The 27080-nt window shown below is 35.8% G+C and overlaps 1 long non-coding RNA gene and 1 other non-coding gene across 6 annotated transcripts in view; both read right to left on the bottom strand.

Moving 5' to 3' along the window:
- Nucleotides 1–27080, bottom strand: part of LOC105378027 (uncharacterized) — a 246946-nt gene that overhangs the window by 91632 nt on the left and 128234 nt on the right. For 4 of the 5 annotated variants that reach the window (XR_001744387.3, XR_001744385.2, XR_001744388.2 and 1 more), the window contains one exon: nt 22688–22823. The exons of the other annotated variant lie outside the window; for it this stretch is intronic. This is a non-coding gene — a long non-coding RNA (uncharacterized LOC105378027). The remainder of the gene's footprint in view (nt 1–22687; nt 22824–27080) is intronic. 5 annotated transcript variants of the gene reach the window in all.
- Nucleotides 9921–9990, bottom strand: MIR4465 (microRNA 4465). The gene has a single exon (NR_039675.1). It is a non-coding gene; the product is annotated as a microRNA 4465 (primary transcript).

Raw genomic sequence — 27080 nt, 5'->3', positions numbered from 1 at the left:
TTAGAGCTGCCTATACCTAGAAAAATAGTAAATCAAAAACAATATCACATCTCTGGAGGGACTGCAGATATTAGTGCCACCATAAAGGACTCGAAAGACACAGGGGTGATGATTCCACCACATCCCCTTCAACTCTCCGTGTGGCCTGTAGAGAAGACATGTTTCTTGGATAATGACAGTGGATTTTCGTAAGCTTAACCAAGTGGTGACTCCAATTGCAGCTGCTGTACCAGATGTGGTTTCATTGCTTGAGCAAATTAACACGTCTCCTCGTACCTGGTATGAAGCCATTGACTCGGCAATTGCCTTTTTCTCCATTCCTGTTCATAAGGCCCACCAGAAGCAATTTGCCTTTAGCTGGCAAGGCCAACAACATACTTTTACTGTCCTACCTCAGGAGTATGTCAATTATCCAGCTTTGTGTCATAATCTTATTTGGAGAGATCTTGATTGCTTTTCACTTCTGTAAGAATATCACACTGGTCCATTATATTGATGACATTATGCTGATTGGATCCAGTGAGCAAGAAGTAGCAAACACACTGAACTTATTGGTGAGACATTTGCATACCAGAGGATGGGAAATAAATCTGACTAAAATTCAGGGAATTTTAGTAAAATATTTTACTTCAATAAAATTTCTAAGGGTCCAGTGATATGGGGCCTGTCGAGATATTCCTTTTAAGGTGAAGGATAAGTTGCTGCATTTGGCCCCTCCTACAACCAAGAAACAAGCACAATGCCTAGTGGGCTTATTTGGATTTTGGAGACAACACATTCCTCATTTGGGTGTGTTACTCTGGCCCATTTATTGAGTGACCCAAAAGGCTGCCAGTTTTGGGTGGGGTCAAGAACAGTAGAAGGCTCTGCAACAGGTCCAGGCTGCAGTGCAAGCTGCTCTGCCACTTGGGCCACAAGACCCAGCAGATCCAATGGTTCTTGAGGTATCAGTGGCAGATAGGGATGCTATTTGGAGCCTTTGACAGGCCCCCATAGGTGAATCACAGCAGAGGCCTCTAGTGTTACGGAGCCAAGGCCATGCCATCTTCTGCAGATAACTACTCTCCTTTTGAGAGACAGCTCTTGGCCTGTTACTGGGCTTTCGTGGAAACTGAATGTTTGACTGTGGGTCATCAAGTAACCATGTGACCTGAACTGCCTATCATGAACTGGGTGCTTTCTGACCCATCTAGCCATAAAGTGGGTCATGCACAGCAGCATTCCATCATCAAATGGAAGCGGTATATATGTGACCGGGCTTGAGCAGGTCCTGAAGGCACAAGTAAGTTACATGAGAAAGTGTCTCAAATGCCCATGGTCTCCACTCCTGCCACCCTGCCTTCTCCCCCACAGCCTGCACTGATGGCCCCATTGGGAGTTCCCAATGATCAGTTGACAGAGGAAGAGAAGAATAGGGCCTAGTTCACAGATGGTTCCGACAGATATGCAGGCACCACCCGAAAGTGGAGAGCTGCAACTTTACAGCCCCTTTCTACAACATCCCTGAAGGACAGCAGTGAAGGGAAATCTTCCCAATAGGCAGAACTTCAAGCCGTGCACCTGGTTGTGCACTTTGCATGTAAGGAGAAATGGCCAGGTGTGTGTTCATATACTGATTCATGGGCTATAGCCAAAGGTTTGGCTGTATAGTCAGGGATTTGGAAGAAGCATGATTGGAAAATTGGTGACAAAGAAATTTGGGGAAGAGATATGTAGATGGACCTCTCTGAGTGGTCAAAAACTGTAATGATATTTGTATCCCATGTGATTGCTCACCAATGGTGACCTCAGCAGAGGACGATTTTAATTATCAAGTGGATAGGGTGATCCGTTCTGTGGACATCACTCAGCCTCTTTCCCCAGACACCCCTGTCATCACCCAATGGGCCCTTGAACAAAGTGGCCATGGTGGCTTGGATAGAGGTTATGCATGGGTTCAGCAACAGGGACTTCCACTCAGCAAGGCTGACCTGGCTATGGCCACTGCTGAGTGCCCAATTTTCCAGCAGCAGAGACCAACACTGAGCCTTTGATATGGCACCATTCCTCGGGGTGGTCAGCCAGCTACCTGCTGACAGTTTGATTATATTGGACCTCTTCCATAATGGATAGGGCAGAGGCTTTTCCTCACTGGAATAGACACTTATCCCAGATATGGGTTTGCCTATCCTGCATGCAATGTTTCTGCCAAGACTACCATCCGTGGACTCACGGAATGCCTTATCCACCGTCATGGTATTCCATACAGCATTTCCTCTGACCAAGGCACTCACTTTATGGCTAAAGAAGTGCAGCAGTGGGCTCATGCTCATGAAATTCACTGGTCTTACCATGTTCTCCATCATCCTGAAGCAGCTGGATTGATAGAATGGCGGAATGTCCTTTTGAATTCACAATTACAATGCTGACTAGGTGACAATACTTTGCAGGGCTGGGGCAAAGTTCTCCAGAATGCTCTGTATGTTCTGAATTGGTGTCCAATATATGGTACTGTTTCTTCCACAGCCAGGATTCACAGGTCCAGGAATCAAGGGGTAGAAGTGGAAGTGGCACCACTCACCATCACCCCTAGTGATCCACTAGCAAAACTTTTGCTTCCTGTTCCTGCCACATTACGTTCTGCTGGCCTAGAGGTCTTCATTTCAGAGGGAGGAATGCTGCCACCAGGAGAAACAATGACAATTCCAATTACATGGAAGTTAAGATTGCCACTGGGACACTTTGGGATCCTCCTACCTACATTTACGTCAACAGGCTAAGAAGGGAGTTACAGTGTTGGCTGGGGTGATTGATCTGGACTATCAAGATGAAATCAGTCTACTACTCCACAATGGAGGCAAGGAAGAGTATGCATGGAATACAGGAAATCCATTAGGACATCTCTTAATATTACTATGCCTTGTGATTAAGGTCAATGGGAAACTACAACAGCCCAATCCATGCAGGACTACAAATGGCCTAGACCCCTCAGGAGTGAAGGTTTGGGTCAGTCCACCAGGAAAAAGCCATGACCTGCTGAGGTGCATGCTGAAGGCAAAGGGAATACAGAATGGGTGGTAGCAGAAGGTAGTCATCAATACCAGCTGCAAACACATGACCAGCTGCAGAAACGAGGACTGTAATTGTCATGAGTATTTCCAGCTTCTTTTGTTAAAAACATGTTTGTGCATCTGTACACTTGTACTAAGAAAATATCATTTTATTTCCTTTTTGCTTTATCATGTGACATAAGACATACTGATTTCATATGAGCATTTATGTATTGTTAACATTACATAATAGTATTTGGGTTGGGGATTGGTGCATTTCCGGTAGTACAAAGGATAGTTGTTTTATGTTAGGCATAATTATGACCTTATTATTGTTTTTAGTGAAGATTATGTATGATCTCAGGAGATGTGCATGGGTTCAAGTTGATAAGGGGTGGACTTGGGATGGTTAATACTGAGTGTCAACTTGATTGGATTGAAGGATGCAAAATATTGATCATGGTTGTGTCTGTGAGGGTGTTGCCAAAGGAGATTAATATTTGAGTCAGTGGGCTGGGAAAGGCAAACCCATCCTTAATCTGGGTGGGCACCATCTAATCAGCTGCCAGTGTGGCTAAAATGTAAAGCAGGCAGAAAAATGTGAATAGAGAGACTGGCCTAGACTTCCAGACTACATCTTTCTTCCATGCTGGATGCTTCCTGCTCTCCAACATTGGACTCCAAGTTCTTCAGCTTTGATACTTGGACTGGTTCTCCTTTCTTCTCATCTTGCAGATGGGCTATTTTGGGACCTTGTGATCGTGTGAGGTAACATTTAATAAACTCCCCTTTGTGTGTGTGTGTATATATGTATATCTCCTATTAGTTCTGTCCCTCTAGAGACAGAACCCTGACTGGTACTTATATCTATGTCCTGAATGCTTGTAATCCATACACAAACTTTATTTTATAGTTTATTTTATTGATTTACTTCATTTGGACTGTGGTTTTTGCAATATGAAAAAGTAAGAGCAGAGTTTGTGATTATCTGTTTAATTTTACCAAAGCATATATATACACACAAGACAAATCAATCAAAGACAAAGCAGATATTGACATGAGTTATAAAGTTTGATTTAACACTTGATTAATTTGGAAATTGCTAAATTCCCCCTTTTTTCTATAATCACTATTATAATTTATCTCTATATATTATTTTTTATAGGTTTACTTGGTGTCAGCTTAAGGGGGAGGGAAATAATGTTGACTATGTCAAATAGTGTGCAAATTTGAAAAATGTTTTGAAATCAAGTTCTTTACTTAAAGCTTTGGAATAATGGGAAAATAACAGATCTATTTTCATAGGAATTAATTGAATCAATTACTTACTGGTATTTTTGAAAATTTCATATAACCAGTGAAAATGTCTTTATATATGCCTGTAAATTTGCATATGCCCTGTGAAGTTTACTGGCCACATTTAATTCTGAGAACTAATTTTAGTAAGTTAATGAAGTCAAGAAAGACAAATTCCTGAGGGAGAAAATTTTAAGATAATAACCTAAATTTTCAAAGGCCAAATAGAGAACAGAAAAGTGTAAGGTGGTGGCAATGAAGAAAGCATTAAGAATTAAACTCAATTTTGGATCTTTCCTGCTTTCTCTTGTGGGCATTTAGTGCTATAAATTTCCCTCTACACACTGCTTTGAATGTGTCCCAGAGATTCTGATATGTTGTGTCTTTGTTCTCGTTGGTTTCAAAGAACATCTTTATTTCTGCCTTCATTTCGTTATGTACCCAGTAGTCATTCAGGAGGAGGTTGTTGAGTTTCCATGTAGTTGAGCGGTTTTGAGTGAGTTTCTTAATCCTGAGTTCTAGTTTGATTGCACTGTGGTCTGAGAGATAGTTTGTTATAATTTCTGTTCTTTTACATTTGCTGAGGAGAGCTTTACTTCCAACTATGTGGTCAATTTTGGAATAGGTGTGGTGTGGTGCTGAAAAAAATGTATATTCTGTTGATTTGGAGTGGAGAGTTCTATAGATGTCTATTAGGTCCACTTGGTGCAGAGCTGAGTTCAACTCCTGGGTATCCTTGTTGACTTTCTGTCTCGTTGATCTGTCTAATGTTGACAGTGGGGTGTTAAAGTCTCCCATTATTAATGTGTGGGAGTCTAAGTCTCTTTGTAGGTCACTCAGGACTTGCTTTATGAATCTGGGTGCTCCTGTATCTGATCTTTGACAAACCTGAGAAAAACAAGCAATGCGGAAAGGATTCCCTATTTAATAAATGGTGCTGGGAAAACTGGCTAGCCATATGTGGAAAGCTGAAACTGGATCCCTTCCTTACACCTTATACAAAAATCAATTCAAGATGGATTAAAGACTTAAATGTGAGACCTAAAACCACAAAAACCCTAGAAGAAAACCTAGGCAATACCATTCAGGACATAGGCATGGGCAAGGACTTCATGTCTAAAACACCAAAAGCAATGGCAACAAAAGCCAAAATTGACAAATGGGATCTAATTAAACTAAAGAGCTTCTGCACAGCAAAAGAAACTACCATCAGAGTGAACAGGCAACCCACAAAATGGGAGAAAATTTTCGCAACCTACTCATCTGACAAAGGGCTAATATCCAGAATCTACAATGAACTCAAACAAATTGACCAGAAAAAAACAAACAACCCCATCAAAAAGTGGGCGAAGGACATGAACAGACACTTCTCAAAAGAAGACATTTATGCAGCCAAAAAACACATGAAAAAATGCTCACCATCACTGGCCATCAGAGAAATGCAAATCAAAACCACAATGAGATATCATCTCACACCAGTTAGAATGGCAATCATTAAAAAGTCAGGAAACAACAGGTGCTGGAGAGGATGTGGAGAAATAGGAACATTTTTACACTGTTGGTGGGACTGTAAACTAGTTCCACCATTGTGGAAGTCAGTGTGGCGATTCCTCAGGGATCTAGAACTAGAAATACCATTTGACCCAGCCATCCCATTACTGGGTATATACCCAAAGGACTATAAATCATGCTGCTATAAAGACACATGCACACGTATGTTTATTGCGGCACTATTCACAATAGCAAAGACTTGGAACCAACCCAAATGTCCAACAATGATAGACTGAATTAAGAAAATGTGGCACATATATACCATGGAATACTATGCAGCCATAAAAAATGATGAGTTCATGTCCTTTGTAGGGACATGGATGAAATTGGAAATCATCATTCTCAGTAAACTATCGCAAGAACAAAAAACCAAACACCGCATATTCTCACTCATAGGTGGGAACTGAACAATGACAACACATGGACACAGGAAGGGGAACATCACACTCTGGGGAGTGTTGTGGGGTGGGGGGAAGGGGGAGGGATAGCACTGGGAGATATACCTAATGCTAGATGACGAGTTAGTGGGTGCAGCACACCAGCATGTCACATGTATACATATATAACTAACCTGCACGTTGTGCACATGTACCCTAAAACTTAAAGTATTAAAAAAAAAAAGAATTAAACTCATCTGGAGGCTGAAAAGAGTAATGCAACAGATTGATTTCTTATTGCTCAGATCTATCCTCTCTCTCGCCTCTCCTGCCAAAGATATACTTTGAAAATAATTTTAAAACAAGACCTTGCTTTTAAGAAGCCATCTGCTAAATGATCCAATCTATACCTCAAGTTCAGCCCTTTGTCAGCAACTAAGTTTGTAAACACCAATTCCATGTTTTCTTTTTCCCACCATTTTTTTTAGGACAAAACAAAAAAACAAAAAGCCAACATCTAGCTAAACTAAAGTAAGCTACATAAGTGACCTCAATTATCTGGACTCCAAGATTAAATTTATTCATATCATCTAAAAGTTGAGTATGTGTCAGAACTGAATAAATGTCTTGCTTTTTCTTTTTTGCTTTTAATGTTTTCATTCAATATTGTCAAATCCTACTCAAATCTTACTTTTCAATCCTTTGCTTCATAAGTGTGGAGCCAACCTGAAGATACAGTGAATACTGTTGTCGTTTTTTTTCTCAAACTATTAAATCAGAGCTAATTTCCTTGAAACAAAAGACCTCAAAGAGCCTGATTGAAATATGTTTGGGAAAGGATGATATGAACTGTGGCCATCCCTTTCCAATGCTAGTTTAAAAAGGTCTTGATTGCAGGCAATACCTGATAGAAATAATATTAATAAGAGTTTTCTTTTTCTTTAACTTTACCACATTTTTATTATTTTACCTTGTTCTTAATTCTGGGATTACTCTTGTATGCCTGTATCACATGCATCTTTATCTGTAGCTTTAGAACATGATGATTTTTACCATGTTTGATAATGCATTACCTCTTATTTCTGTCTGGGAAAAGTGTAGAATGCAATACAATATCAAACTTTACTTTTTGGCAATAGTCAAAATCATAGCCTGATATATCATGATATAGTTTGAGCAGAAATGAATTATTGTGGAAACACAGGTAGTAGATGATAATTAAACCTATGATTTGCTAATTAAATTTTGATGTAAGTAGGGATGGTTGTCCACATTATGACATAAGGCAAAATGTACATAAAAATCCCTTAGAAAAATCTTGGTGCTTTTATTTTTACCCAAGTAATCTTTTCTTTAATCTGTAAGACTACTATGATGGATTACTATGATATCCTTTTAGCTAGAAAGAAATCTAAGTTGGAACGGTATTAAATTTATTATAAGTAAAATAAAAATGAGCATTCTTCTCTGCATTAATTTTTATTGGAAAGTTCATGTTCTATCATTAATACATCTTTACTAAATACAACATTTATTGAGTATTCATAGAGTGAATATTATTCTATCATTTACTCTAAAATTTGATCAGGAATGGTGGCTCACACCTGTAATCCTAGCACTTTGGGAGGCTGAAGTGGGAGGATCTCTTGAGGCCAGGAGTTTGAGACCAGCTTGGGCAATATAGTGAGGCCTCATCTCTACAAAAATAAAATAAAATGAATTAAAATTAAGTAAAATAAAATAAAATTCATGGAGGTTTGTGGTTTTTTACTTCTTTTGGTTGTGATTGTATGCATATATATAAATAAATATACATATAACATTCAAAGACTTTACAGTTTATTGAAAATCAGAGGGATAAAACAGAGGCAATACAACAATGCAGCGTAATTAGAATTATAGAATATAGAGCTTACAAATAACTTAAGGCTCCATCTGGTCATTATCTATAGTAACATTTCCAGAGAACTGAAATCAAAGTAGATGTAACTACACAATGGTAAAACTGTTCCAGTGCATGTCATAGGATAAATACTCCAGAAAACTTTAATGAACAAATGAATTGTTCACTACCTACTTAGCAAATAAATTCAGATCTCCTCTAAGTCTTAAGCTTCATTTTTTTTCCTCAAATGAATATATTTTTTAAATATTTAAGATCCATTCAATTTACTTTGGATTGTGTAACTGTTGGGAAATGACCTAAGTTGATATTTCCTGTGTAAAACAGTAACACTCTCATTTTTATTTGGATCTACCTTGAGCCATAAATAATATTGGAATCTGGAGAAATCCTGAATGACTTAGCATTTTACAACTTTTTTGTTTTTCTCTTAATTGAACTAGAACATGAAAAAGTGCCAAGGAGTGTATATAAAAGAAAGAATTATCACTCTTACGATTTCTGGAGATTGACTTCTTAGTTTTAAGAGAATTTTGAATTTTCTACATTTATTTTGATAATCTTACACCCATATATATGAGCATACCAAAGATTGTTTGTATGACCAATTTATACCCATGTCCCACTGCTTTACTGAAGTCCTGGAGTTTGCATTTGCATTGGCCCCAAGTAAAGGACAAATTACATCATGGCAAGCTGTACAAATAAAGCTTTTACAGCCATTTACATAAGGCATAGTAGGGGGGAAATTGTCACCAAATAGCACATGGTCTTTCAACTCTGAAGAACTCAACAGAACCTGTACTGTAGCAGTCAGTGTCATAATTATTTCACTGGCAGATGTGTTGTATAGATTTAATTTTGAACAAGTAATGATGATACTAAATATATAATAAAGGACTTCATACTCCAAAATTTTTTTGCCTTTTATGAATATGATTGAATTGATTGGATCTTCAAAATAATTCCCTGATAGTTAAAATTTTGAGTTTTTTAAAGGCAAAAATAAAGGCAACGATAACTACTATAATTTAAATAAGGGTCAAAATAAGAATGACAAAAGTGAGAAAGTATTGCTTCATAGTTTTAATTTCATTGGTAATTGTATTTTTTTATAAAAATTATAATCTATGGCATATTAAATTAATGTTGTTAATTTGAATTTTAGTGATTTGGTAGGAAGCTTTAGTATTTTATTTGAAAATGAAATTTAATAGATTTCAGAGCTATAAGTAAAATAAGTTTATATCTTATTTTACATAAAAATTTTATTTTATACAATTATATCAAAACATATATAAGTTTTGTTGGTATGTTTTTAGCTGATATTATAAAAATTGATACTTAGAATTAAAGTGTACTTATCATTAATTATTTTTTAGCTGAAAATGGTCCATAGATTAAGGAAGTTGAAAAAACACTGGGAGAGTCCTCATTATGGTTGCTTTAAATGTAGACCGACATTTGCTCTTTTGTGTTTCCTGCTGTTTCTTTTTTTTTTCATAATTAGTAGCAATAAAATGCCATAAATATTTTTAACAATGTGTATGTTCATTTCAGGGTTAAAAGAGAAAAGTAGAGTAAATAATACTTCCTTCTTTTTTGCAAGAGGTTTAAGGGGACCTATTTAGTGGCACAGGTAGTATCCATAGAAGCGAAATAAGCAAGTTATATGCTATTGAAACTAAAAACAAACCAAACAAGAGATACATGCCCCACTTGTGACGGAAATATGCTTGTGGGAATGCAATCAATGAAAAGCTCTCATGTGTCCCCTGGTCAGACTACTTGAGGTTCCATAGTAAACCTCAAATAGCGTGCCAGGGGACACATGAGAGCTTGGGCTAGACCAGAGCAGGGCTGTCTAAGAAACGAACTTGACAAATTCAACTGTAACATCCTTTGTAGGCAGCACTACCAACCGTGGTACCTCCTGGACATCTCTCCAGCATAAGGAGCAAGGCAAGCCCTCTTTTCTCAAGGCTTTTATTCTCTCAGCCACGCCTTCACCCCCATTCCCTTCCCAACCCCACACACATAGAACAAAACTTAAAAGAACAAAAATTGCATCCTCTTCTAGAAATGGTAAAACTAGAGAATTTTTTCTGGATGCAGTTTGTTAAATTCAACATATTTTGCTAGATAACGATTTTACCTCTTTAATTAACACAGATAAATGATCTATTACTATTGCTTTCTTCTAGGCTTGTGCCATATGTGTAATATTAGACACTATATCTAATAACAATAAAATGTCGGAAGGGTTGCATGTTTGTCTTGCTATTAGAGATTTTGTCTAATATTACATACATATATATGTGTGTATGTAATTATATATAGAGAGAATATATATTTATATAGATAACATATATCTATAGAGATATATAGAGAACATATATCTCTATATCTATAGAGATATGTAGAGAACATATATCTCTATATCGATAGAGATATGTAGAGAACATATATCTCTATATCGATAGAGATATGTAGAGAACATATATCTCTATATCGATAGAGATATGTAGAGAACATATATCTCTATATCGATAGAGATATGTAGAGAACATATATCTCTATATCGATAGAGATATGTAGAGAACATATATCTCTATATCGATAGAGATATGTAGAGAACATATATCTCTATATCGATAGAGATATGTAGAGAACATATATCTCTATATCGATAGAGATATGTAGAGAACATATATCTCTATATCGATAGAGATATGTAGAGAACATATATCTCTATATCGATAGAGATATGTAGAGAACATATATCTCTATATCGATAGAGATATGTAGAGAACATATATCTCTATATCGATAGAGATATGTAGAGAACATATAGCTCTATATCGATAGAGATATGTAGAGAACATATAGCTCTATATCGATAGAGATATGTAGAGAACATATAGCTCTATATCGATAGAGATATGTAGAGAACATATAGCTCTATATCGATAGAGATATGTAGAGAACATATAGCTCTATATCGATAGAGATATGTAGAGAACATATAGCTCTATATCGATAGAGATATGTAGAGAACATATAGCTCTATATCGATAGAGATATGTAGAGAACATATAGCTCTATATCTATAGAGATATGTAGAGAACATATAGCTCTATATCTATAGAGATATGTAGAGAACATATAGCTCTATATCTATAGAGATATGTAGAGAACATATAGCTCTATATCTATAGAGATATGTAGAGAACATATAGCTCTATATCTATAGAGATATGTAGAGAACATATAGCTCTATATCTATAGAGATATGTAGAGAACATATAGCTCTATATCTATAGAGATATGTAGAGAACATATATCTCTATATCTATAGAGATATGTAGAGAACATATATCTCTATATCTATAGAGATATGTAGAGAACATATATCTCTATATCTATAGAGATATGTAGAGAACATATATCTCTATATCTATAGAGATATGTAGAGAACATATATCTCTATATCTATAGAGATATGTAGAGAACATATATCTCTATATCTATAGAGATATGTAGAGAACATATATCTCTATATCTATAGAGATATGTAGAGAACATATATCTCTATATCTATAGAGATATGTAGAGAACATATATCTCTATAGATATAGAGATATGTAGAGAACATATATCTCTATAGATATAGAGATATGTAGAGAACATATATCTCTATAGATATAGAGATATGTAGAGAACATATATCTCTATAGATATAGAGATATGTAGAGAACATATATCTCTATAGATATAGAGTTATGTAGAGAACATATATCTCTATAGATATAGAGATATGTAGAGAACATATATCTCTATAGATATAGAGATATGTAGAGAACATATATCTCTACAGATATAGAGAGATATATAGAGAACATATATCTCTACAGATATAGAGAGATATATAGAGAACATATATCTCTACAGATATAGAGAGATATATAGAGAACATATATCTCTACAGATATAGAGAGATATATAGAGAACATATATCTCTACAGATATAGAGAGATATATAGAGAATATATATCTCTACAGATATAGAGAGATATATAGAGAATATATATCTCTACAGATATAGAGAGATATAGAGAATATATATCTCTACAGATATAGAGATATATATAGAGAATATATATCTCTACAGATATAGAGATATATATAGAGAATATATATCTCTACAGATATAGAGATATATATAGAGAATATATATCTCTATAGATATAGAGATATATATAGAGAATATATATCTCTATAGATATAGAGATATATATAGAGAATATATATCTCTATATCTATAGAGATAGATGTAGAGAATATATATTCTCTATATCTATAGAGATAGATGTAGAGAATATATATTCTCTATATCTATAGAGATAGATGTAGAGAATATATATTCTCTATATCTATAGAGATAGATGTAGAGAATATATATTCTCTATATCTATAGAGATAGATGTAGAGAATATATATTCTCTATATCTATAGAGATAGATGTAGAGAATATATATTCTCTATATCTATAGAGATAGATGTAGAGAATATATATTCTCTATATCTATAGAGATATATAGAGAATATATATTTTCTATATCTATAGAGATATATAGAGAATATATATTCTCTATATCTATAGAGATATATAGAGAATATATATTCTCTATATCTATAGAGATATAGAGAATATATATCTATATAGAGAGATATATGTGTGTAATATTAGACACTATAATAATAATAAAATGTCTGAAGCGTTGTGTGTGTATTATTAGATATTATATCTGTATCTCTATATAGATACACCTATATATACACATATACACACATACACAGACACACACATACACACATATATATATTTTATTTAGATATATATAGAGAGAGAGACAGAGAGAGAAGGTTAAAAATAAATAGAAGTATTAAAATTTTTCAGGAGAAAGATTTAAAGAAATGTAATCCTAGACTAAAAGAGAGTATCATGGCCTCACTGATACTACTATTATTTCAAAATAAGCTAATCTTTTATGTGTAACTATGATGTCTGACTGTTTTATACTGAAGTAATACATCTAATACTGATGACACATATGTGTGTATGACTCTGTCATATTTATCTTTTCAATTTCTGTCTCATTTTATGCCTGACATATGGAGAAGTTGAGAATAGTTAAGTCGCCAATAAAAAATACAAAAAAAAAAAAGAAACATTTTAAAAATAGGGAATGTATGGCTTTGTGACCTAGAAAAAATAAAGCCTTTATAAAAGGACCGTTTGAGGTATGCATGGGACTTTGACAGATAAGTATGAGATGAAGGAATTCCACATAGAAGGAACATGGACAAAATCAGAGATGGCAACGTATAGAATATTCTTTATATTTATAAATTAAACAGTTGAACTACAGAGTAGAAAACTTGACAAAAGGAAATTTAGAGTAGGCTATACTGGATGGCCTTGAGTGTAAGGGAAAGTGCCAGGTATTTAATTTGAGAGCCATATACTTTTATTGAAGGATTTTCTGCAGGAGTAAAATATAGTTTGGTTTACTTTTTTTTTTTTTTTTTTCTTGAGAAAGAGTCTTGCTCTGTAACCAAGGCCAGAGTGCAGTGGCGCAATCTCTGTTCACTGCAACCTTCACCTCCAGGGTTCAAGCGATTCTCCTGCCTCAGCCTCCTGAGTAGCTGGGACTACAGGCGCCCGCCACCACGCCCGGCTACTTTTTGTATTTTTAGTAGAGCCGGGGTTTCACCATGTTGGCCAGGATGGTCTCAAACTCTTGACTTCATGATCCACCTGCCTTGGCCTCCCAAAGAGTTTTTAGACAAAATATCTTGGAGAGATGTGAAGGAGATTGGATGAAAAGATAGAGGTGTAGGAAAATGGGACACTATACATAAAATGAGAAAAATCATGAGAACATAAAGCCATGCAGCGTCAATGAAAATACCAAGGACAAGATGAATGATGAAGAAGTTACAGAGGCAAATGGTATAATTCAGTAACTAGTCCTAAGTATTGAGTGAAAACAAGTTGTTGCAGATGTCTCTGTGTTTCAAGGATGAGCAACTGAAGAAACTGATGAACTGGCATTAATGACACTGGCATTAATTTTTTGAGGTGAGTGAAGTCAAATTTAAAAACTGGCCGGGCACGGTGGCTCACGCCTGTAATCCCAGCACTTTGCGAGACCGAGGTGGGTGGGTCACGAGGTCAGAAGACCGAGACCATCCTGGCTAACACGGTGAAACTCCGTCTCTACTAAAAAGTAGAAAAAATTAGCCGGGCGTCTTGGCGGGCGCCTGTAGTCCCAGCTACTCGGGAGGCTGAGGCAGGAGAATGGCGTGAACCCGGGAGGCGGAGCTTTCAGTGAGCCGAGATCGCGCCACTGCACTCCAGCCTGGGCGACAGAGTGAGACTCCGTCTCAAAAAGGAAAAAAAAAAAAAAAAACAGGGCCGGATGCAGTCGCTCAAGCCTGTAATCCTAGCACTTTGGGAGGCCAAGGCGGGCAGATCACTTAAGGTCAGGAGTTTGAAACCAGCCTCGCCAACATGGTGAAACCCCGTCTCTACTAAAAATACAAAACAATTAGCTGGGTGAGGTGGCGGGCACCTGTAATCCCAGCTACTCAGAAGGCTGAGGCAGGAGTATTGCTTGAACCCAGGAGGCGGAAGTTGCCCTGAGCTGAGATCGTGCCACAGCACTCCAGCCTGGGCGACAGAGCAAGACTCTGTCTAAATAAAAATAAAAATAAACAGGTGAGGACTTTTTTTTGAACATGTGGAGTGTGAAATGTCTATTGGTAAACCATATGGAGCTCTCCAGCAGGAAATTTGATATGAAGGTCTACAGATTAGGCAAACGCTTAGGGTTTGATCAGTATATCAGGAAATCAACTACTTAGGAGTTGATCTTCCCCAAGGGAAAGATTAGAACGAAAAAGTATTGTTTAGCCCAGTGTGTGCTTGTCGCATTTTTATTTGATAAGCGCTGCCTGTAAGGAGAGTCCCACTCTCGTTTCATACTCCTAGCTACTTCCATACTTCATTTATCACACAAACACAGACATGCATACATACACATATGTGTACACACTGCCACCAACCCCCACAAACACATGCATAAACAATTTCACCACCTTATGTTAGTACAATACACAGCATCTTGCGTGCCGTGCCTGAACTTAGGACACATTACCAAAGCCTGCATAGTTAAATGGGGTCAGAATGTCAATCTAAATTAAACTCATAGTTGAGATGATGGACATCATCCCATCTGTCTCAGGCAGTGTTTTGCTTCACCAGAGAGAATCTGACAGCTGTTGTTTAAAAGAAGTCTCACTTCCACTCATTTTCTTATTATGACATTCAATTTCCTTCCTGAGACCTTCTTCCAAGTTCTTGATCCTAACCCTAGAAATTTGCATATAAAGTTCCCCGGGCAGCAACAGTATTGAAACAACTGCATGATTACTCCAGCAATCATTCTTCCACCTTTCAACTCTTAAAGCACCTGCATTTTTGCTCCTCAGGCAGCGCTCTGTTCATACTGCCTTGCAAAAGAGCTGTCTTGGACTAGTCTTATGACTGCTACTAAAATTGTAAACAGTGAGAGGGCATTAACCTTCCTCATGCTTAGCATACAGAAGGAACTTAAAAATAGTACATACTGGATAGTTGAATAAATTGCTAAGTGAAAGAAGAGCTTTATCTGTGAGAATTCTTTTAATTGTTTGACATTGTTAAAATAAACACAATGCCTTAGATATACTCTGAGATCTATCAAGGGTATGCAAAAGTCAAATGGGATTCCGCATTCAAGAAATCTGAACAGGCAAGAGCTTGCCTGTTTCTATGGCAGAATATTGAAAGGGGTATTATTTTCTTTTAATGCTTAAAATAGGTTTTGAAGAATAAATATTTTAAGAATTTATTAAATAGTGAGCAGATTCAATGTAATATTTATAAACTATCTGTTGTCAGGTATAAAGAATAACGATAGCCTGAACACCTACGTGCAGTAGTATTGAGATAAATGTTAAAAAAAAAAAAAAGTCTCACACTGTAGATTCTTGTGTGCCCTTACCAATTTCTTTTCTTCCCAATCTAGTAACCCAAACTTTATTTTCTCCATTTCCTTTTGGTTGCTTTTACTATAAAATTTCAAACTTCTAAGCAAAATGTCACTTTGTTTTGAATTGTAAAGAAATAAATTTTGAACAGATATTCTGCTACAATTTATTTTTTTCATCTTTTATATTCTCAATATTCATTTACATCATTGCATGAATACATATCTATCTTCTAACATGATTTTACTGTAATATATTTTTATTCTAACATTGATGAGTATTTTGATTGTTTTCAAAGTTTTGCTATTGCATAGGCTACTAAGAATATTCTTCCACTTATCTCCTGGTGGACATGCACAGGAGTGGAATTCTTGGATCATAGAGTATTAATATCTTCAAATATTCTATATACAGTCATGTAGTATTCATTGACAAGGATACGTTCTGAGAAATGGGTCATTAGTTGTGGGAACATCATAGAGTTTATCGCACAACCCTAAACGGTATGGCGAATCACACATGAAGACTATATGGTATAGCCTACTGCCCCTAGGCTACAAACTTGTACAGCATGTTACTGTACTCAATACTGTAGGCAACTGTAACCCAATGACAGGTATTAGTGTATCTAAACATAGAAAAAGTACAGCAGGCCAGGTGCGGTGGCTCACGCCTGTAATCCCAGCACTTTGGGAGGCCAAGGCGGGCGGATCACAAGGTCAAGAGATCGAGACCATCCTGGCCAACATGGTAAAACTCCATCTCCACTAAAAATACAAAAATTAGCTGGGCATGGTGGCACGCGCCTGTAGTCCCAGCTACTTGGGAGGCTGAGGCAGGAGAACCACTTGAACCCGGGAGGCGGAGGTTGCAGTAAGCTGAGATTGTGCCACTGCACTCCAGCCTGGCAACAGAGCGAGACTCCATCTCAAACAAACAAACAAACAAAAAACAAGAAACAGTACACTAAAAAGTATGGTATAGAAGATGAAAAATTGTACACATACATAGGGCAGTTACCAAGAAGAAAGCTTACAGGACTGGAAGTTGCTCTGGGTGTTAGTGAGTTAGTAGTAAGTAAATGTGAAGGTATAGGGCATTGTGGTACACTACAGCAGACTTTATAAACACTGTACACTTAAGCTACACTACATTTATTTTAACGTTTCTTTAATAATAAATTTAGCTTACTGTAACTTTTTTACTTTATAAACTTTTTAATTTTTAACACTTTTGACTTTTGTAATAGTTTAAAACACAAACATACAGCTGTACAAACAGTATTTTTTCTTTATATTTTTATAAGATTTTTCATATCTTTCCGTTTTTTGCTTCTACTTTTTAAACTTTCTGGTTAAAAACTAAGACAAAAACACACACATTATCCTAGGCCTATGCAGAGTCAGGGTCATCAATATCACTGTCTTCCACCTTCACTTTTTGTCCCACTGGAAAGTCTTATCATGTAGGGAGCTGCTGTCTCCTATGACAATAATGCTTTCTGAAATATCTCCTGGAGGACCTGCCTGAGGCTGTTTTACAGTTAAGTTTCTTTAAAAAATAACAGGAGTATGCTATAAAATAATGATAAAAATTATAGTATATTAAATAAATAAACCAGTAACATAGTCACTTATCATTTTCAAGTACTATGTACTGTACATAATTGTATGTGCTACACTTTTATTAAATTGGCAGTGCAGTAGGTTTGTTTACAACAGCATCACCACAAATGTAACTAATGCATTGCACCACACTTGAATGGCTACATCACTAGGGGGTGGGAAGTTTTCAGTTTCATTGTAAACTTACAGGACCCCCATCCTATATGCTGCCTGTGGTTGACTGAAACATGGTTATTAGGTGCATGACTCTGAAGTCAAAATTTTTTTAAGTCGTTCACTGATATCCACTTCCAACAGCAGTGCCTCTGTGCTCTCCTTACTCTGTATCCTCACCAACACTTGGTGTTGCCAGACCATTTGTGTTGGCCAGTCTAGTATGCACAAAATGGTATATATCATGTTATGAATTTATGTGTTCCTGGCAACAAATTAAGATTGGACATCTTCTCACATGCTTATTGATTATTTGGTTTTCCTACCATGTGAACTGCCTATATATCCATTTTGTTATTTTTATCAGATGTCTTTTTACATGATTCAGCTCAGTTATTCATTCATTCTGAATACTTACATTGATCGCTTCTGTGTGTTGTATGTATTTTCTCCAGTTTGTAACTTTTGTTTTCATTACCATTAACTGGTTTATTCTTTTTTTGTTTTTTTGAGATGGAGTCTCACTCTGTCTCCCAGGCTGGAGTGCAGTGGCGCGATCTCCGCTCACTGCAAGCTCCGCCTCCCAGCTTCACGCCATTCTCCTGCCTCAGCCTCTGGAGTAGCTGGGACTATAGGCGCCTGTCACCACGCCCGGCTAACTTTTTGTATTTTCAGTAGAGACGGGGTTTCACCGTGTTAGCCAGGATGTTCTCGATCTTCTGAACTCGTGATCCGCCCGCCTCGGCCTCCCAAAGTGCTGGGATTGCAGGCATGAACCACCAAGCCCGGCCAAGTGGTTTACTCTTAATGTACTTGAAGTAATCAGTGATAACAGGCTTAAGGAATTCTTCTCTATGTGAACTTACAAAGGTATTATCTTGCCATCTCATATTGCTTTATTTATTTACTTATTTTGGGCAGGAAGGAATAAAGAACTATGATTTGTTCTTTTTTTACACTCAGAAAAACACCATAAAGTGAGGCACAGAACAAGCCTTCATGAACTTGAACCGCTATATACTTCTGTGTATTTTGTGGCCTAACACGTATTTCCAGGGCTCACTTTATCCCGTATTAACTAAAAAAAGAAAGAAAGAAAGAAAAGAAACAGACAGTAGAAACAGTAATAGTAAAACATAAAGAACTGATATTCAACAGATACAGATGTTAAGATGTGTGCATGCATACAAACATAAATAGATACAAAGATTTGCCTGGACACACTGAGTTGTCTCAAGTTCTCATTTTAGAAGTAAATTAGATGGATAGTTCAAAAGCCAAAGAATCCTTTGGAATGTTAAAATAATTTAGAAATTGTCCATTTAAGGCAGCCACAGAGTCAAGGGACCTACTATAGTCCATTCTAGTCATTATAAAATGATACGTAAACATTTGAGTAAATCTAAGAATACATTTGTACATTTGTCCTTCCAGACTGAAGTCACATCACAACTATGAATGTTTATAATGCAGTTTTTAATGTCTTAAGAGTGGAATGATACTTTTAAAACTGCAGTATGTACAGAATGTCATTGAATTTGACTTTCTAGAGGGAAGACTGTACTGGTGATTACAGAATACCACCAGCCGTTTTACACAAGCCGGACTAGTGCTCAATTAATGCAGTGTTATCAGTGAATATTTGGCAGTTTTTTTGTGCTATCACATTGACGCATAGATGCTTTTAAGACTCCGAAAATAAATGCACATACAGACACAAACATGTTTTTACAGATATTCACAAAAGAATGCCATCTAGATATCAAAACTAAATTGTATTTGAATTTTACCTGTAGTTATTATGATTACGTTTTTGAATAAGCTCAATAAAAACTGGAGCTATCATGCTGGGTGCTGTGGCTCACGCCTGTAATCCCAGCACTTTGAGAGGCCAAGGTAGGCAGATTACCCAGGAATTTGAGACCAACCTAGGCAACATGGTGAAACCCTGTCCCTACAAAAAAAAAAGTACAAAAAATTCGCAGGTGTGGTGATGCACATCTGTAGTTCCAGCTACTAAAGAGGCTGAAGTGGGAGAATCACTTGAGCCCTGGAGGTTGAGGGAGCTGTGATCACACCACTGCACTCCTGCCTGAGTGACAGAGTGAGAACCGATCTCAAAAACAAAAAACAAAGAAACAGACAAAAACTGTAGATATCTATTCTTTGTCACTTTCAGTCTTTTCAGTACCTAAAATAGTACATAACAATTACAATGAAGTTCATCTCTAAAAAATAGAAAGGCTACTTTTTTCTTTTGTCCAAGATATTAGCAAACTCATAGAGGGTACCAAAGTAAAGCACTAACACTTAACTTCAAAAAAATTAAAATAGTATAAAATGTTTATAAGGCTCTTAAATAGGTGATTTTACCCTAACATCATGAAGCTTGTTCTTTCTCTAATTTCCAAACAAATATTTTCAAATATTCATACTTAGGCACTACTCAATTTCTTGGGAGTGTAGGTCAAAGAACTGTATCTCCTTCTTTGTGAACATCTGCCATATTCTCCATTCCTAGACAATTCACCATAAACATGTATCTACTATGCATCAGGAGACACATTTTTTATTTTCTTCATATAGATAACCAATGTATGACAGAATTTCTTGAAAGTCTATTCTTTTCAATTGCTCTTGAGTGAAACTCTGTTATAAATCAAGTGTCAATGTGCAGGTAGGTCTTTCCCTTCACTCAATTTTTCTATCGATATCAATACCCTATTGTGTTATTAAATACAGCTTTATAATAATTGTTGATAACTAGTAAGGTAAATCCCACCCCTCCATCCCCAGGTCTTTCTTCTTTAGGAGGGTTTGGTTGCTGTTCCGTATCAATTTAGAATCATCCCCTTATGTTTCACTCTCTAAAAGGAACAGAGAAAGTGACAGAAAAATAATTATGTGGAGATATTAATTGGAATTCATTTGGATTTATAAATAACTTAGGGTAAAAATGAGAGCTACACTTGTTATCCTATTGTATATTATTTTCACAATGATGCTTTCTACTTGATTGAGGCAGGAGTATATAAATGAAATTGATTTTTGTACTATGACTTATGTCACAGTTTTGAAAATTTTGCTAAATTTCACTGACTACTTGAAATAATACATCAGCCATTTATTTTGGTTTTTCTATATAGATAATTATATCTTTATATAATGACCATATTCTATTTTAGCTTTATTTGTTCTTCTTGCCAAAAGCTGCCTTACACATTGAGTATAATGTTGAAAAGAAAGGCAATATGCAAGTTTGTCTAGCTTCTGAATGCCTTCAATGCATTTATATTACAAATTTATGTGCTACATTCATTTTTTATAGATAACTTTGTAACATTAAGGAATTTTCTATTCCTAAATTGATAATTGGTTTTGTTATGACTAAATGTTGAATTTTCACACATAGTTTCTGTGATTATCACCAACTGACAACACATTAATGAAATTTTTAATGTTAAATATAACTTTGAAGCTTTGAACATAATGTATTATCTTTCATATAATGTTTGCCTTAGGGTAGTTTTCCCTGAGACTGGGTAATTTATAAAGAGACGATACGTAATTGACTCACAGTTTCACAGGAAGCATGACTAGGAGACCTCAGGAAAGTTACAATCATGGAAGAAGGCAGAAAGGAAATAAGCATGTCTTCCTCACTTGGTGGCAGTAGAGAGAGAGAGCAAGGGGGAAGTGCCACACACTATCAAACAACCAAATCTTCTGAGAACTCACTCACTAACATGAGAACAGCAAGAGAGAAGTCTGCCCCCATGATTTAATCACCTACCACCAGGCCCCTCCCCTGATATGTGGGGATTACAATTCTAGGTGGGATTTGTGTGGGGACACAAAGCCAAACCATATTAGTGTTCATAATAACACTGTGATAGCAAGAGAGTTTATACTATATCTTATGTTTTAATATAGGATAGCCCACCTTTTCTTTCCTACACATATTCTATTATGCCAGCATATAATTTTAATATTTGCTATTGAATCCTCTCACTTGTAGTCTAACAGTTTACTATATTTCACAATGTTTGTCATGGTCCATGATATACCTAACTAGTGTACCAAGTGGCTGGCTGGTGTGGCATTGTTGGATACTTTGTTTTATCACAGAGTACACCATATTTTGTCTTTGAGGGTAAGATGTTAGTTACTATTCAATGAAAATAAACAAAACAAAACAGAGCTGAATCATTGGTGTTCTTCCATATGTAAAAGTAAAGTTCTATTCACTAAACATGTCTTTCAGACTCCTAGATGAGGCAACTTAGACCTATTTTGATGCAACTATAAATACTACTACTTCATTGAAAAATGAAAACTCCACAATAAGTTATAAGCTGGGACTATGCTGGGCAAACTGGAACATATGATTGCCCTAATCTGATCCAGCTTATTATGTGTCGAACATTGTTCAAAGCATTTTTCATTTAATTTCTAAGTGTTTTAAGTTTCTTAAAACTTTCCACTTAATTTTCATAACAACCCTGCAAGGTAGGCACTATTATTTACTCTATTTGAGTATGAGAAAATTGAGGAAATTGAGAAATTGAGACATGGAGAATGGGTGTCTAAGTCCATTTGCCCTGCTATATCAAAATATCTGAGACTGAGAAATGTATAACAGGTGTATTTTCTTACTGTTCTGAAGGCTGGCAAGTCCAAGATCAAGGCTCTGATGGGATTAGAGTGTGGTGAAGGCTACTCTGTGCTTCCAAGATGGCAGGCAGCACTTTGCTGCATCCTCCAGAAGGGAGAATCACTTTGTCCTCACCTCCTAAAATAAAATAAAATAATAATAATAATAAAAACAGAAGGGACAAAAAGAGTCAAACTCCCTCTGTCAAGTCCTTTTATAAAAATGCTAATCCTAGTCATGAATGGGGAACCCTCTTGACTCAATCACCTCTTAAAGGGCACACCTCTTGTTGCACTGAGAATTATGTTTCAACATGAATTTTGGAGGAGACAAAAACATTCAAACCACAGCAGAAGGATTCAGTACTTCGCCCAAGGTCTTAGAAATTACAGATGGCAGAACTGGGAAAAATCAACACTAGGCAGTCAGGTTTTGGAGCTTATTCTTTTAGTTCCTACTATCGTCTATATTTTCTTCCTTCTACTTAGTTTGGGTATATTTTGATCTTATTTTTTTGAGATTTCTTTTTTCTAATGTAAGCATTTACTACTATAATTTTCTTAAACTTGAGTAACATACCACTTTTAAAACTTAGAAAAAGTTTCATAAAGCTCAGATAGTGACTATTTTACTAACCCACAGTTGAATGGTACAAACATGAATAATTTTATGATATTCTTATTCTTACTGCTTTTATACAACTTTATCTAAAATGAATGGGCAAAATTAAAGGAATTCAAATAAGTTATGTTAATATAAAAATGAGGAAGTGTTTCTTAAATGAAATAGCTGCTCACAATGAGCATACAGAGCTAAATAAGCTGATTAACTGCAGTGTGCTTTTGCTGAGCACATTATATCTCTATTACATACACCATGTGCCATGTGATGACTCAACTTTATGAACACATTTCTCTGTGTAAAAGTTCCTTTGTTCAACTAGCCACGATATAATTTAATCTTCATTTGGCAGGAACATCATTTATGTTTTAAGTTCCATTGAATTTTTGTTAATTAAATGTGTACCACAAAGCCAAAAACATAAACACAAGAGGCATTGGAATTAAATATATGAGTTTATAATTGCAGAGCTCAATCATCAACAAACCTTGAAAAGATTCAAACTGTACTTTTATATATGTTTTAGTCCATTATTAAGGTGAAGACATTTGAAAAATCATGTCTGTATGATACTAATGTTGCCTTTGGTGTGCTTCATTTCCTACTGAGGGAAATGAATCTTTCAACTTGTGGTTAGAGATTTTCACTTTAAGAAGAACGTAGGCAGTAACCACCTACCTCTTCAGATTCATCAAATTGCATCCCAAACTCACCTTTTCTAGAAATCTAGAATTCTCTGTATGTCTTTATCTGCCAAAGTGTGTGTGGTAGACTGAATAACGGTCCTAAAATATGTGCCTGCCCTAACCCCTGGAACTTGCAAATGTTACCTTCTATTTCAAAAGGAACTTCGCAGATGTGATTTACTTAAGGATCTTGAGATGGTGAGACTATCCAGGATTAACCTGTGGTCCTGGAGTAATCACAACCATCTAGGAAGAGCCAAATTTCAAAAAATGCAGTGTAATGACATGATAGAAGCAGAAATTGGAGGAATGCATTTTAAAGATAGAGAAAGTGGCCACAGGCCAAGGAATTCATATGGCCACTAAAAGCTGAAAAAAAGCAAGAAATTGGATTTTTTTCCCCTAGAGCCTCCAGAAGGATCTAGCCTTACTGAGACCTTGATTTTAACCCTGAGAAATTAATTTTGACTTTCTGATCTCCGGAACTTTAAGAGAAAGAGACTGTATTGTTTTAAGCCACTAAGATTTTGGTTCTTGACTACAATGCCGATAGGAAACAAACACAATATTCTGTTTGGAAATGTCCCCAGTTTTTGCCTAATTAATTACTGAGTCTCCCAGTTGTCTTAGTCTCCCCACATTCTTTCTTCAGGAAAATTATACTGGAAGGCACAGGAAGGAATAAGCCTTCCCATTTAACAGCTTTTTTTAGTTCCAGGGTCATACGTTGACCATGTCACCTACACTGATACTTTTAAAGTTGTCGTTTGAGTTTCTGCCCACCTAGACTATAAGCTCTCTGATGCTAAAGGCATACTTTTATTCCTACCTTTATTTTTCAGCAAATAGAATAGAATATGAAATAGAGTGAACAATAAATATTTAATTGATTTTTGCATACAGGAAAAGACTTGCAAAATATTTTTAGAGCATATGCTATCTTAGAAAAGATGAATCTGGATCATAAAACAATTTATACATACATATCACCAAAAATATTCTGAGTTTTCAATGGGCATTGACCTTTTGAATGCATTGAATGTAGATGATCTATATGACAGACAAGTGAAAAAAGTTCAGGGTGGGTATTCTTGATTTTGCTGACCTATAATTATCCCAAGAGGTAGAAAGAATATTAGAATTGCCAAAGCTAGGTATAAACAATCACTAGAATACATATATATAGGATATTACTACATGAAAAATAATATTCTGAGTCTCATATAATGTCCATTATTTTGTTTATGCTCTGATTTGTTCACACTGATGAAAATAGATCACAAGACTTGGTTACTGAATGATTTCTTTGAAAATGAGTGAGGTTCCTTTTCCTTGAAAATATTTGCTTAGGAATCAGAAAAGCACTATATGTGGAAAACGTAGTTTTTAGAAGGTATTTTATAGCATCAGATTGACTTTATGGTGATTGGCACCTAAAGCTATATCAACCATTCTCTTTGCTTTTTCTTTTGTTGTTCTTGTAGTTAGAATTCTTTCTGTACCTGGAATGGAATTACAGAGCCAAGTGTAATCCCTAAGAATAGTGAATGATTGGAATAATTAAATGTGAACCATATAATATCTCAGCCAGATTTCAGTGCACAAAGCATGCTTTTATTTCTGGGACTGATTTTCATGTTGGTTTTGACAGCCATAGTATCACACTAAAGGGGAACACACAAAGAAGAGGAGCCAATGCATGTCCTGTGACCATGGCTTTGTGGAATCACTTTATCCCAAGGATTGCTATATTCCATGTCAACAAAAATTGTCATGATCTATGGTTTATGTACATATATTAATCAAGTGATAGCATTATAATACAAGTTATGTTCAGTCAGGACTTATAAGCAGAAGTCTTATCTGCCATCTAGCTGCATGAATATTTTTTAAATGTTGGTATTGCTAATGGTTAAAGAAACAAACATTGATTCAATGCGAGGTTTTTTGTATTATCATTATTTCCAGATTTGTAAGCACTGAAGTACTTAAAATATGTGTCCATAATGGCACATTTCTAAAAGCTTCCTGGTTATTTAGATTTGGATTTTTGAGGACCTGGGAAGAGGTACGAAGAGTACCACTTCCCGTTTGCTTCTCTGTGCATTATTAAAGGTGTTTAGAGCTAATATTTACATTGAAATTTCTAATTTTCACATATGCAAATGTACTGTATCTCTATATCCTACCCTAAAATCTATAACAGGAGACACCTATTGAGTTGAATATGTTTCATGGGGTCCTGGTCTCACAACTGTTTTAACTGCAGAACATATAAATCTCCATCCTTGTTTGACCCAGAAGAAGCCATTCTGTACATAAATTAAGTATGATTAGATAAGAAAAATGAGAAGGAAAAACTCCATCCAGAGCTGCAAAAGATACTGTTCTAATCTCTCAAGCCTATAGCCTAATATATATAGCTTCTATGTATAGAACAACTTCATGGTTCTTTGCATGTTCTAAGATGTACAAGAGGAAGAGAAATTTTAACATAAGTCCCCACCCTTTAGATTTTCCTGGAAGCCAGAAGCACAGAAAGATGCATTTGACCAGAATGTGATGGCTTGAGGAGCATAAGGTATGGAGAGTGATTGGTGAAAGAACAGACTCTCTAAAAGTCACCAGGGCCACTTCCCTTGAACCTCCTTTTTCCTATTACAAAGGAGATTACTGGCAAACTGGTATAAAAATTTTGTGAAAATTCTACGTATCTGTCTGCTTATGATTCAAAGGAAAAAGTGGAGGATGCATGTATCTACATCTACAATTGAATAAACTTAAGGGAAAGTGATAGGTCCTTCTGCTCCTCAATGCAGAAGGGTTTTAAAGTTATAGAATAAAAATTTAAGTGAACTAGACTTATTTTTCCCTCTCTGTAATCCTTTATCCACACTCCTTATATCCACTCCATTAAGATTTCAGAATACGGCTTTAAGTTTATTTTTTTTCTTGTTTATTTGTTTTTTAATGGAGGGAAGACACAAAATAGAGAAAAATGGCCTCTAGGCTTTGTGTTCAAAACAGACTACCAAAAACTATAAGGGATTATAGTTTTAAAATTCAGTGTTTTCATATGCAAGAACCA

Source organism: Homo sapiens, chromosome 6 (genome assembly GCF_000001405.40).
Source record: "Homo sapiens chromosome 6, GRCh38.p14 Primary Assembly".
Taxonomy (NCBI): Eukaryota; Metazoa; Chordata; class Mammalia; order Primates; family Hominidae; genus Homo; species Homo sapiens.
This window is presented reverse-complemented; position numbering and strand designations above follow the sequence as displayed.